The following is a 13,743-nucleotide window of genomic DNA, read 5'->3' as shown; positions in this document are numbered from 1 at the left end:
AACAAATTGCCCTAAAACTTAGTCACTCAAATCAATAAACATGTATTACCTGCTACTGTTTCTCAGGGAAAGGAATCTAGGAGTGGCTTAGATGAGAGATTTTGGTTCAAAGTCTTGCAAAATTTCACCCCAGATTTCACCCAGAGATGCAGTTATCTGAAAGCTTGATCAGAACTAGAGGATCTACTTCCAAGCTCACTCATGTGGCTATTGACAGAGGCCTCCTGGCTGTGTCCACAGGTCTCAGTTTTCCTCATTTGGGCTTCTCTCTAGGGGTGTGCATGACATGGCTGGCTTCTCACAAAATGAGTGATCCGAGAGAGATTGATTGTACACAATCAAATTGGAAGCTGCAATATCTTTTATAACCTAATCTCAGAAGTGACGTACCATCACTTCCACAGTATTCCACTGGTCACATAGACCAATCTTAATTAAATGTTGAGGGGATGAAGGAGACTACATAAGGCCATGAAACCAGGAAGCAGGGATCACTGGGGCCACCTTGAAAATGAGTGACCACATGAACCTAACTATATATTAATTGGCAGTAAAATTAAACAGAATGAAACAATTGTAAATGATTTTAAAACACAGTGACTTCATTGCATATCCCTAGTGGAATATTTACTGTAAAGAAAATATTTCTTGAAAAAAATATTTAAATGTTTTTAATGACCATTATGTTGATACTGTTATTCTCTGTGTGTATATTTTATGTGATAAAGCAAGTGAGTCACTATCCTGATGGTTTTCTCTTTTTTTTTTTTGGACTTGCTATTTGGGGTATAGAAGAAATAAAATATAGGTAGAGTATTAATAAAATTACATAAAACCCCTATGGTCCTACATTTGAAATGAAAAATCAGTATGAACTCTTTTTAAAAATGTATTTCCCAGTTCTGTCCATTGGAAAAATTTAGAAACAATGACTAGGCCCGAAGCAATGAGTAGCCTTGCATCTGCATTATGTTCAGGAAAATTCCAAGAGCTGATTCCACCTTTGAGCCTGGAATATCCACTTATAACGAAAGCAATGAAGATACAAAGCCTTCCTAAGACTGGTCAAAAAAGACTCAGGATCTAACTTAAAGAGTTTCCCACAGTTGAAAGCGACATAATTTGGGCATCAATAAAAATAATAATTGCAATAGATTGAAACACATTAAATATGTTTAAATGTATATATTCATAATGATTATTTTAAAAAACAAAAACTCATTGGTTATCTCTGAAGAATGCTAGGGAACAAACTATTTATTTGAAAAAAAACAGTAAATAAAACAACCAAGCATTTATTCATTTGGCCATTTTCTATGCAAACTGTATCTGAAGTAATAGTTGATGAAGGGACGTTTCCCTTTAAAGAACTATTTCTGTTAATAAATGAAGAATGGTGGGATAAGAATTTCACCATTTTGCAAAGCCCTAATGAAAACGAAAGGAATTAAGCAATGCATATGACTGCCTGTAATTATGATCCAAAAAAAGGCAATTAGATAGCATTTGCTTCCATAGGAAAATATACCACCTACAAAAGTGTCTTCTCAAATAAAATTGATCTTGAACATGAATAAGACTTTAGATTTAACTACTATTTTACAAGAAATAAATGATACTTTTTAAAAACAGCATAGGGGTGCCAGAAAATGCAGACTGTGTAAAACTCTACAGTTCAGACAACACAGCTTCTTCAACAATTGCAAGAAAAAATAATGATGAAAGGGGCAGAGTGGGAAGACTAGACATTTTAAAAATATGTAAGCCTGGATGCAGTGGCTCATGCCTGTAGTCCCAACACTTTGAGGGGGTCAAGGTAGGAGGATTGCTTTAGGTCAGGAGTTCAAGGCCACTCTGGGTAACCTAGCAAGAACCTATCTCTACAAAAAACAAAAAGTTAGCTGGGTGTGGTGGTGTGCACCTCTAGTCCTAACTACTTGGGAGGCTGAGACAGGGGATTGCTTGAGTCTAGGAGTTCAGGCCAGGCTGTGGTGAATAATGGCTGTGCTACTCTGCACGCTAGCCTGGGTAACAGAAAAAATTAAAAAAAAAAAAAAAAGAAGAAGAAGGAAGGAAGGAGGAAGGGAGGGAGGGGAGGAAGGGAGGGAGAGAGAAAGAAAGAAAGAAAAAGAGAAAGAATGAAAGGAAAGGAAGAAAGGAAGGAAGGAGGGAGAGAGGGAGGGAGGGTAGGGGAGGGAGGGAGAGAGAGAGAGAAAGAAAGAAGGAGAGAAAGAGAAAGAAAGAAAGGAAGGGAAGGAAGGAAGGAAGGGGAGGGGGAGGAGGAGGAGGAGAAGGGGAAGGAGAAGGAAAGAAGGAAGGAAGGAAGGAAAGAAGCAAGGAGAGGAAGGAAAGAAGGAAGGAAGGAATTTTAAAAGATGTAAGGAAAAGAGGAAAGGAGGAAAAAAGAGAGAAAAGCAGGAAGGAAGGAAGGAAGGAATTTTAAAAGGTGTAAGAGATATTAACCTATTGCAATATATGGTTCATATTTTGAATATACAAACTATGAAAATAAGATTTACCAGACAACAGGGGGATTTTAAACACTGATGAGACATTTGAAGATATCGAGGAATTACTGTTAATAATAAGGAATTTTTAAGTGTTATAATGTTATTGTGTATTTAAAAAGAGTCCTCATTCTTGGGGCAGTGGTTCTCAAACTTCAGCGTGCGTCAGAATTACTGGAGGACTTATTCAAACACAGATTCCTGGGCCCCATCCCACAAATTTCTATTTAGTGGGTCTGGCGTGGGTCTCAATAATTCTCATTTCTCACAGACTCCCAGAGGAAGCTGAGGCTTCTGGCCCAAAGACTACACTTTAAGAACCACTGCTTTACAGACATATGCTGAAATAATGTGGATGAAATAACACACTGTCTGGGCTCACTTCATCTCTGGTGGAGGGTAATGTGGGGATAAATAAAATAAGATTGTCAGTTGATCACTGAAGCCTGGTGATGAGCACAGGGAGTTTCATCATGCTATTATCTCCACATGTGCCTGTTTTTGAAGTTTCCAAAATTAAAAGTTTTAAAATGTAAACAAAGTATACATTGTTGCAAATATGAGTAAAATAGTCAAATGATTAATATCAATATGTATTGTATTAATTTGTTTAAAGCACATTTAAAATCACATATTACATATAATATTAATTTGGAAATACATTTTTTTCTAAGTCTACATTTCTTAAAAAAAAAGTATACAACTTTTTACTTAATGTTTCTCATGGCTGTCCTCATTATCACTACTGCCCATTTTTGAGCCATTTAACAGCTTTCTAGAACACCCCAGTACCTTGGTCTAAATTGTTTAAGAAACAGAACTTTTCACATCTGCATTTAATGCTATCTCTGGAAATTTTCTCCCAAACCACAGCTATCCATTGCATAATGTTAAGATGATTTGTTGTGTTCACTTGTCTTGAAAGAGAGTGTGGATGACTCTACACACACTCAAAAATAGTTTTATTTATAAGCAACCTTTAAAAGACTTGTTTACATTTCCAACTCTTGCAAGTTCCAACACCCCCAGAAGAGTCAGTAAATCTGTGTTAGATTTTTGTGCTTCATTTGTACCAGTTCTTTTAGGCAAACATCACACAACTAGGATTGATTGAAGTCACTTCAGGCTATGGTGTTGGTCCCCAAGCGGTATTTTGTTATTCAAAGTAAACTAAATGAGAGAAACCTATGGTATTAGAGACTTCATAGGTGCTCTGACAAATCCCAAGGTCAGAAACCTGGGGAATCTTGATAAAATTTCTCATTTTATCTTTTTTGACACGTGGGGAACACTCTTCACTTTGGAAAAATGACAGCCCCAGGTGACTTAAATCAGCAAGGGAGAAATCTGAAGCCCAGCCTGCAGCTGGCCTGAACCCAGGCACCAAGAGCTCCTCCCCATTCTCCCATGCTGTTGCTCTAGTTTGTCAGCAGATTCAGGGCTCTTCTTGATGTGGGGGGGTGTCAGCCAGGCACAAGACAGAGTCCTGGCCCACATGGAGATCATATTATTGGAGGGAGATACACAAAATACAACAAATAAATATATCATAAGGTTTTAGAATGTATAAAATATTTAAAATACATAACACTCATTCTTCACAGCATTCCAGGGAGTACAGTGTATTTTCCTCTTTCCATAGTTGAAGCCAGAAAACTTAGTCTGTGGCTGGGCGTGGTGGCTCACGCCTGTAATCCCAGCGCTTTGGGAGGCCGAGGCGGGCAGATCACGAGGTCAGGAGTTCGAGACCATCCTGGCTAACACGGTGAAACCCCGTCTCTACTAAAAATACAAAAAAATTAGCCGGGCATGGTGGCGGGCGCCTGTAGTCCCAGCTACTCGGGAGGCTGAGGCAAGAGAATGGTGTGAATCTGGGAGGCAGAGCTTGCAGTGAGCCGAGATCACGCCACTGCACTCCAGCCTGGACAACAGAGCGAGACTCCGTCTCAAACAAACAAACAGAAAACAAACAAACAAAAAGACTCAGCCTGTGATGTCTAGGCCCAAAGAACTATGAGGACAGGAGTCACACCTGCCTTGTTCATTTGTATCTGTAGTGTCAAGGATAAAGGCACTTAATACATTTTCATGTTTAAATGAAAACAAAAGCAACTGAAAGATACCTTGACTCATGGAATGATAAAGTATTGATAACATTTCTTTAAAACACTATCATAGAAACACATAAATTCTCAGAGGCAAAAAAAAAAATTGTGTGTGGCTGAAAATGGAAATATTTTATATTGCAAATAATTTGCAAAGAAACATATTGTCCTGTGAACAATATGTCTGAAATACCTAGCCAAATATTTTAAAGAGTGAAATTGGCCAGGCCTATAATCCCAGCACTTTGGGAGGCCAAGGCGGGAGGATCAGAGGTCAAGAGATCGAGACCATCCTGGCCAACGTGGTGAAATCCCATCTCTACTAAAAATACAAAAAAAAATTTAGCTGGGCATGGTGGCATCCGCCTGTAGTTCCGGCTACTCTGGAGGCAGAAGCAGGAAAATCTCTTGAACCCAGAAGGCGGAAGTTGCAGTGAGCCGAGATCGCGCCACTGTACTCCAGCCTGGCAACAGAGTGAGACTCGGTCTCAAAAAAAAAAGAGTGAAATTGCTCTGTGGACTGAACAGTGAATCTCCCTCATCCTAGTGTAATTGGGAAAAGCAGGATTCAAATATCTGCACAATTTACTAGGGAGTGTTTTGGACAAGTCTGCTCTAGTCATTGCTCTACTAATAACATTTTTATGGCTCCCACTGCCCTCAGAATAAAGCGTAGATGCTAACAAGGCTAAAGGTAATTCATTGCCTTTCTCCTGCCTCTCTCTCTCCAGGCTTATCTTTTGCCTTTTCCAAAAGTTAAACTATGCTCTGAAAGCATCATCTGTCTCTTACATGCATGCATGCACCTTTGAGGTTTTCTATATCCAGTTCACTCTTCCTGTAATCCTCTTGTCCTCTCCTCCTCCCTCTCCACTTGTTAGCCTATCCAAATCCAAATCTGACTTATGTTGCAAGCCTAGATTTAGATGCCATTCCCTTCAGACCCGGACCACCAAGTCCAGATCAGGTGGACCATGGACAATTCTGAGAGTGGCCCTTAGAATCCCTTTTCTATTGTCATGGTTACTTGCTATGCCTCCCACCATCAGCAAACTCTGTGAGAGCAGGGGCTGAGTCTGTTTTTATCACTGTAGGGCTTATGACAGTGCCTGGCCCAAACTAGACAACCATAAATGTTTTTTAAATGAAGGAATAAAGTTATTTAACTTCTGCAAGCCTTGGCTTTCCAAATGTAAAAGGTTGCTAGTACTACCTACCTTGTATTGTTGTGTAAGGATTTAAATAATGACATGAGCAGGACACCCATGTGGTGCCTTGTACAGAGTATGAGCCAAATAAATAACTCTTGTGATTTTTATGCCTATTCAGAACTCTCTGTCATTCTTGCCCACTCTGCTCACTCTAGAGAGCGTCTTGGTTTTTCCTTAAAATGTTCATGACTATAAAACATCTGTAGGTTGCTATTCATACTGATAGGTTATTCAACATGACTGTCAATTTAGTAGTTTATAGAGAATCCTTCTGATCATGTCGCCCTTCTATTACCTGGTATTAAAAATAACGATGTGTCCAGAGGCTGAGGCAGGAGAATCACTTGAACCCGGGAGGCAGAGGTTGCAGTGAGCCGAGATCTTGCCACTGCACTCCAGCCCGGGTAAAAAAAACAAGACTCCGTCTCAAAAATAAATAAATAAATAAAATAAATAAAATAACCATGTGTCTTGATTTGTGCCAAGTTTTTGTTTTAATCAGATATGGTAAGATACCATACTTGGAGACAATTGCCTTTGAAAAAAGAGTTAATTGCTTTCATTTCCCAAGAGAAGCAGGGATTCCACACCACATCGGGCTACTTGAGGACCTCAAGAAGGAAGAAGGAGGAGCAAGGAGAGAAAAGCGCAAGCCACAGCCTTTCTCTGGGGTTTAGGTGGGAAAGGCAAGGCAGGGCAGAACAAACAGCTTAGGACTAGCTAGTTGGAATAATTCCCCCAGGCTTTGGGGCATAGTGACTATCCCTAGTTGTCTGGAGCCTAGTCTTGGATTTATTTAAGGCAGGAGAAAAAAAGGCTTGCTGTGTGAGAGTTAAATAAAGGAGGTATCTGGGGGTTTGAACTCAGGACTGGTTTGCATATGAAAGATGTATTAGCAGGCCAGTTGTTTGCCATCTCTAGGAATTAGCTAGTCCTGGGAGGGGCAGTCCCCCCAGCCAGCAAGGCCTACCTTCTTAAGATGTCAAAATACCATAAAATATGAATAATTTAAAAACACAATTAATATACCATGCTCCATGGCAAGAGAGAACAGGGTTTTATTATTGATCCTAATTCTATCATTTATGCTATTGTAACTTTTAGTGACATTACTCCTAGAGTATAATATTCTGAGCTTTTTAATCTCTTGTCAAAGTTAACAATTACCTTTGCTGCCCTTCCTGAACCTGCTAATTAAAACAGCCTAATGATACCCTTATCTCTAATAAGAACCCCACATTTGCCTATAAACACCTTATGCTCTACCTATTATTTTTTGCCTGTCACACTTTCTTGCCCAAATGAGACATACCTAAGTGTGAATATATTTATCTAACATGTGTCAAGCGTATAATGCTGAAATTGGTATGAAGGCAACATTTCTTCACGACGATTCAATGACTCAATGATACATGGGCTAAAGTTCATTTAGAACTGGGAATGTGCTTAAATAAATTGGTTGGTTTACTCATTTTCTCCATTCTTTCCTCTTTCTCTTCCCTACCTCCTCTTCTGCTCCTTGCTTCCCTTTGTCCTTGTTCTGTTAAGATTCCCAGTCAAGCAAATGTCCACTGCAGCTCTGTACCAACCGGAGACCAGTCCTTATCCTATGTGCATGGCATTCCCAGGAGAAAGCTTAGAGACTGGTCCTTGGAACAGATGGTGAGAGGCAGCTCTGACCAACCTGAGGTGTGTATACTAAGAGTTGTTGAGTTGTGTCTATTGTAGATGAAGGAGTGTTGTTGACTCAATTTCTTGATGTGGAGCAGAAGATAAGTTGGTCTGAGGGCTGGTCATAGTGGCTTACACCTGTAATGCCAGCACTTTGAGAAGCCAAGCTGGGAGGATCACTTGAAGCCAGAAGTTTGAGACCAGCCTGGACAACATAGTGAGACCCCATCTCTACAAAAAAAAAAAAAAAAAATTAAAGACAGTCTGAGAATAGACAAATGGACACCAGACTTCGTTTATCCAGTCAGCTTTCCAGAAAGTGTCCTGAGGAGTTCACAGACAAACCTTAAAAATTTCAACCGAACTCCTCATGCTCCTCGCACCTTCCTCCTTTTCTAGGATTGCTGAGCTCAGGAAGGGCCATTATGCTCCCAGTTAACTCAGTCAGGGTCTAGACACCATCCTTGATTTGCATCCCCCATGCTAAACTCCCAGCTGCAATGGGTCTCCAAAATGTGTTATTCTAAATTCTTATACCATCAAAGCAGTTATTTTGTAAAAGGCAAATGATGTATGTTAAAGCATCTTCTACCAGACCATGTACTCTAGGATTTGCTTTCTTCTCCTGAAGGAAGAGAGCTGATGCATTGTAAATAATGAATACACCAGATTGAATGCTCACCTTCAGTGCCACAGACTTGTCCTGCTCCAGGCCAGGACTGCGAGTGGACACTCAGATACCAGCCCCAGTGTGCCTCTGCTTCCTTGCTTTGGTCTTTAGCCGGCTGATTGAAGAGTCTTGCTCTTTGTTTTTCATTGTTGTGTTAGGATATTGGCCAGAGCCCAAGTGGGACAACAAATGAAGACGCTTTTCTTCTTGCCCTGGTCAGAAGAGAACTCAAGTCACGTCCTTTGAGTTCCAACTTATTAGAAAAGCTTCAGAAAGAGCTGAAGATCCTGGACCCAATCTCTTCAGGATTTCTTCTCCAATCTCAGCTGAGCCGCCTCTTTTTGAAGCATGAAGTCCCTCTACAGTTACCAACAGTTAAAATCCTTTGTCAGAGATTTTCTAAGAGGGGTTCTCCTGAAATGGTATGGCAATTGTACTATTGGAAGTGTGGGTTCCTTTTGTTTCCTTAACTTGTACCCACAAGGGTAAAAGACTAAGAAGTTAGCTACTTTCTTGCAAATAACTTTTATCCCTGACTACTGAGATAAAAAGCTTATTTATATTCATGTGTAGAAATTTCTAGTTCGAATAGAAAATAGAGTTAGGTCTCTTCGCTCTGTTTCATTTCTCTTTAAAGGTCCTCCCTGCCCCAACTTGCATTGTCAGCTTTTAACAATGTTAGGGTAGTTACAGATTCAAGAAAATGGGCCCACGCAAGTCCATTCATGAGCTAGCTTAGTCTGCAGGACCCAAGGTAAGAATTGAGACTGAGCTAAGATCTGCTTTGTGTCATCACAACTTCCTAGAGAGTTAGAAGTGGGAAGTATCTTTGAAATTTACTGATTAAGGAAATGAGGCCCAGAGGATGTCCAATAACTTGTTTAGGAGACTCAGAGAATTAATGGCAGACACCATGCTAAGACACAAATTTCCCAATGACAGGGCCAGAGTTCTTTGGGCATTGTATTTTCCAAGCTCATACCTATGTCTGAATATAAAGAGTAGTCCAAGTGTCACTAAATTCAGGGAGCCAGAGGAAAATACCCTGAAATAGGAAGAAATAATAGCAATAAGAATATCATTAGTGAGCATGTATCAATAGCAAAGCAATAGACAGCACAAACCTTAAAAAAGAAGGCCTGGACTTTAATCTTAATCCCACCATCTTAGTTCTGTGACATGGAGCATACTCTACTTAAGTCCTCCCATGCCTCAATGATCTCATCCAGAAAACCAGGCCAAAACCAACCTTGCAAGTTTAGTCTCAGGATTTAGTAATGTGATAAATGCAAACTAATAGAATTAGTTATATATTTATGAGAAGTATTTAGCAATACAATATTGATTTATTACTGCAACCCATATGAATATTCAGTTCAACCAAATTTTCTGGCCTGAGACCTAGTTTCTATCAGGGGCCCTATCTAGCTTCCCTCTCCCACTGCTCACCACTCTGCTACCCTGGAGCTGTCTGTCCACCAGAGTCCCTAGGATGGCATCCAGCTTAGCAGTGGAAATGGATGACATTCCTTCAGTCCTTTCCTATGCAGAAAAAAGGTCTTCAGATTTTTCACTTGGCCTAATAAATTTTTGTCTTCAGATTATCTGAATATATCTGCTCAATCTATCTAAATATATCTGCTGAATACATCATATATAATAAATGTATAAGATATGTGAGAAGGAACAAGAGAGAGAGTGGGGGCAGCGGTGGGGAGAGAGAGAGAGGCTAGAGGTTAGGTTGTACTATAGTAATAACCCCAAAATCTTTGTGGCTTAAAGCCACAAAAAGTTATTTTTTTTCATGTTTATTTCCATAGAGCCAGCCATAGTTCTTCTTAACACTGTTGTCATTTTAGCTCTGGGACCCAGGATGATGAAATAGCCACTTTAGGATATTTTTGGACAGGATAGCAGAAGGGGAAAAAGAGTCCTGGAGGGTCTCATGTTAGCTCACAGGGTCTCGGTTCTGGTTATAACTCATTGGCCAGAACTAGTCACATGGCCTTACCCAACCAGAAGACAACCAGGAAGTACAATTTTACCATTTGTCCAGAAGGGAAAATAATAAGAATACTTGCTAAAAAGCACCAATAATTATGATACTATATTTTTAAGTGTTTTTTTAAATGTTTGATGGTAAAAATTTGCCAAATACATTTTATCTCAACAGGCCTCTTTCCTTACATATAAATTAAATGAGGATGTTCTATTTTACATTTAATTTTCAGGTGAATTATGAAAAGCTACTCTGGTTTTTAAACAGTGCAGCATCAGATTATCCACAGCAAAATAAAGCAGCTGCAGACCTGAGAAAAACTGAGAGTCATGGCACTCATAGCCAAAGGTACTCTTCTCCCTTTTTGTGAGGGTATTGTTCCTAGGTGTCTTAGTCTGTGTGGGCTGCTATAAAAAAGTACCATAAACTGGGTGGCTTATAAAGAATATAAATGTATGAATCACAGTGCTGAAGCGAAGGCTGAAAGTCTAAGATCAGGGCACCAGCATGGTTGAGTTCTGGGAGGGTTCTTCCAGGATGCACACTGCTGACTTCTCCCTGTATCCCCACATGGCAGAAAGAGAGCAAGCTGGCTTGCTGGCCTCTCCTTACAAAGGTATTGGTATGGTTTGAATGTGTTTCCCAAAGTTCATGTGTTGGAAGCTTAATCCCTAATGCAACAACAGCCCTGGGAGATGGGACCTAATAGGAGGCGATGAGGTCATAGGGCTCTGCCTTCTTGAACGCATTAATGTCATTATCTCAGGAGTGAGTTCGTTACCAAGAGAGTGGATTTGCTGTAAAAAGCGGGTTTATCTCTCACCCTTGCCTCCTCTTGCCCTTCTGCCTTCCACCACAGAATGATGCAGCAAGAAGGCCCTTTCAAGATGCCTGCCACTGACCTTGCACTTCTCACCCCTGTGAACTGAAGAAATAAAATATCTGTTCTTTATAAATGACCCAATCTCAGATATTCTATTATAGCAGCCCAAAATAGACTTAGACAGGCACTAATTGCACTCATGAGGACTCCACCCTCGTGACCAAATCCCACAGGCCCAGCCTTCTGATGTTATCACGTTGGCATTAGGGTTTCAACACAGGAACTTTGAGGGGATGCAGTCAGTCCATGGCATAGACTCCTAGAGCTGGCAGGGATCTTGAAGGCATTCACTCAAACACCTCACCCGATGCAGAATCACTTTGCTCTTCACCAGCACTTGGCTTGTGCTCAGAGTTTTCTCTCTCTCTCTTTTTTGTGCGCAGGCCAACATAGAAAGTTATTTGCAGCAATTGCATATGTTTTTTAACATCAAGCATGTGTCTTTTTATGAGGTTGCTGTGTGAAAATGAAAAACCTCATTATGAAATAAGAAATGATTGTGTACGGGTGCAGAGCTCATCTATAAAGTGTGATTCCAAAAAGATGTTCAGTCAGTCAGCTCCTGAGTCGCAGGCACTAGCAAAAAAAGGTTTGAGATTCAGGCATCCATAGTCACTTCATATAATCTCAAGGGAGAGAAATTACTCAAAATAAAAATAAGATGTGAGGAATATAATCAGAAATGAAACGCAATAAAGTATAATATTTTCATGTTTGCCAAAAAAGGTGACAAATTGCAGTGGTTAGGAGCATAGCCTCCATTGCAAAAGCCTGGCCTCAACTATTGTCTTTGCCACTCTGGGGCTATGTGACCTTGGCATTTCACTTAACTTCTCTGTGGTTCCATTCTCCAACTGTAAAATGGGCATGATACACTTCACTTCACTGATTTGTAATAGTAACTGAGTTAATAAATGCAAAGTTCCAAAAATCAGTGCCTGGTACATAGTAAGTACTATGTAAGTGTTTTTATTATTTTTAACTATTCTTCTAGAGGACACTCCTTTCAGCTGCAAATAATGTGGCATGGTGGTTAAGAGCTATGGCATTAGAGTTAAGTGTTTTACTCTAGGAAGAAGGTAGCATTTTTTGTTTGTTTGTTTGTTTGTTTGTTTGAAAATGTCCTTGGGCCAACAGTTGGACTTGATTCCTTCCTACAGTGTGCCCTGTTTCACTGTGATAACTTCAACACTTATTGAATGTGAGCTGTTTGTCAGGCTTACTTTGCTGGGCACAGTGAATTCCAGATTGACAAAGCCTAGTCTCTTCCTTTAGGGCTCATGGTCCAAAGAAAACAATACTGCCATCTAGGCATTCCAGTCAAATATCACTCTGGGAGCAACTGTCTTACTGAGAGCCATAAAGCCCTAGAAATTTTTAACCAACAGCAACTATCCTTCATATAATACATACTGTAAAATTTTGACCCTGAGAGGTCATAGACCATGCGGTAGAAAACAAGGCCAATCCCTGGCGTGTAAGGTCTTATGAGTCCTAGACAGAAAGCCTTTGCTGATACCTAGATAAGGTTAGATCTCTGTGTTGTTAGTTCCATAGTCCTTCCCCTTCATAGCGGTTATGGCATTTTCTGTTATTTATTTGACATTTGAGGTTAGGAATTGTGGCTGTCCTGGCCAACTCTGTGTCTAGCATAGTTCTAACATAGTTCCTGGCATACAGAAGATGCTCAATAATATTTGTTGAATGTAATTGGCACCTCCAATTTTCTAAAGTGCTCACATCAATTTACTTTCAGGGATACATGAATATCTGTTCTATAGAAAAGGCACATGAAGAAATCATTTTGAGCTCATCAGAGAAGGTGCTGCTTTCTAAAAACCAGACAGTATGTTTGTAGAAATACAGGACTGATGGCCTGTAATAAAGCCAGGCTATTTGTTAATTAAGGTATGGATCAGGAAAATCCTCTTCTCATGCTCTGTCAGGTAGATCCTCTAATAGGGTAGCTCTGTGATGTTTTAAAAGGTTCCAGCATTGCCAGTGGCAGTAGGGGTGGCAACAGCTCTCATCTCCTAAACTGGACCAGATGAACTAAAATTCTGCAACAGGCCTTCTAAGAAGCCCTACCAGCTGCAGTAAATGGGTTCCATACAACACCTGCCCATCCAGTACTCAGTGTACGGAGCCAGGGACCAAAGCTTCATGAATTCTTATCCCCAGAAACTGTCCTTGCAAGAAAAGAGGAAGGAAGACTTATGATTCAGATCTGGAACAGAGATGTCTGATTGACAGTGTTTGGGTCATGTGCCCTTGCAGCAAAGAGAGGCTGGTAAAGCAAATAGTTGGCATTCTCCTCTGCCACAGTGAGAGGTGGACTGTCTCATGAGCTGGGGAACTCCCTGGACAGGTGAAGGCACATGCAAAAGTTGGTGACCAAAATAAATGCACGTGCCCACTATTCCTTCTCTGTACCAAACTTTTGGAAAATATTATATATTATTAAGTAGTTCAGAATAGTATAATTTGGAGCCAAAACTTGTGTGAGAGTCCTAGAGCCAAAAAAAAAAAAGGAAATAATATCACCTTTGGACAAAGTTATATACATCTAAAATGAATCAGTTCCAGGTACTGTACAAGATCCCTGGGAAACAGTAAGGAACAAAACAGACTTGACCTCTTAGAGCAGACTACCAGGGAGGAAGTCAGACTTGAAAAAATAAGGAAATAGAGATGTGA

General features: G+C 40.2%; 1 protein-coding gene across 3 annotated transcripts in view, besides 1 other annotated feature; it reads left to right on the top strand.

Moving 5' to 3' along the window:
- Positions 1 to 13,743, top strand: part of C1orf87 (chromosome 1 open reading frame 87) — an 83,377-nt gene that overhangs the window by 25,268 nt on the left and 44,366 nt on the right. For 2 of the 3 annotated variants that reach the window (NM_152377.3, XM_017000307.2), the window contains 3 exons: positions 7,372 to 7,512; positions 8,323 to 8,586; positions 10,396 to 10,511. In NM_152377.3, coding sequence (NP_689590.1) covers positions 7,372 to 7,512; positions 8,323 to 8,586; positions 10,396 to 10,511 — 521 coding nt within the window. Of the gene's footprint in view, positions 1 to 7,371; positions 7,513 to 8,322; positions 8,587 to 10,395; positions 10,512 to 11,022; positions 11,371 to 13,743 lie in introns of those variants that run through there. The other variant, XM_017000308.2, reaches the window with a different exon arrangement.
- Positions 7,566 to 8,765: an enhancer, noted in NCBI's record as "BRD4-independent group 4 enhancer chr1:60505410-60506609 (GRCh37/hg19 assembly coordinates)". NCBI's record gives its function as "activates an origin of replication core promoter dependent on BRD2, P300/CBP, MED14 and CDK7 cofactors, and independent of BRD4, by STARR-seq in HCT116 cells {active_cell/tissue: HCT116}" and the evidence as "EXISTENCE:reporter gene assay evidence [ECO:0000049][PMID:35650434]".

The sequence above is a fragment of the Homo sapiens genome, chromosome 1 (assembly GCF_000001405.40).
Source record: "Homo sapiens chromosome 1, GRCh38.p14 Primary Assembly".
In the NCBI taxonomy this organism is placed as follows: Eukaryota; Metazoa; Chordata; class Mammalia; order Primates; family Hominidae; genus Homo; species Homo sapiens.
The sequence above is the reverse complement of the archived record's forward strand: the minus strand, read 5'-3'. Positions and strand labels throughout refer to the sequence as shown.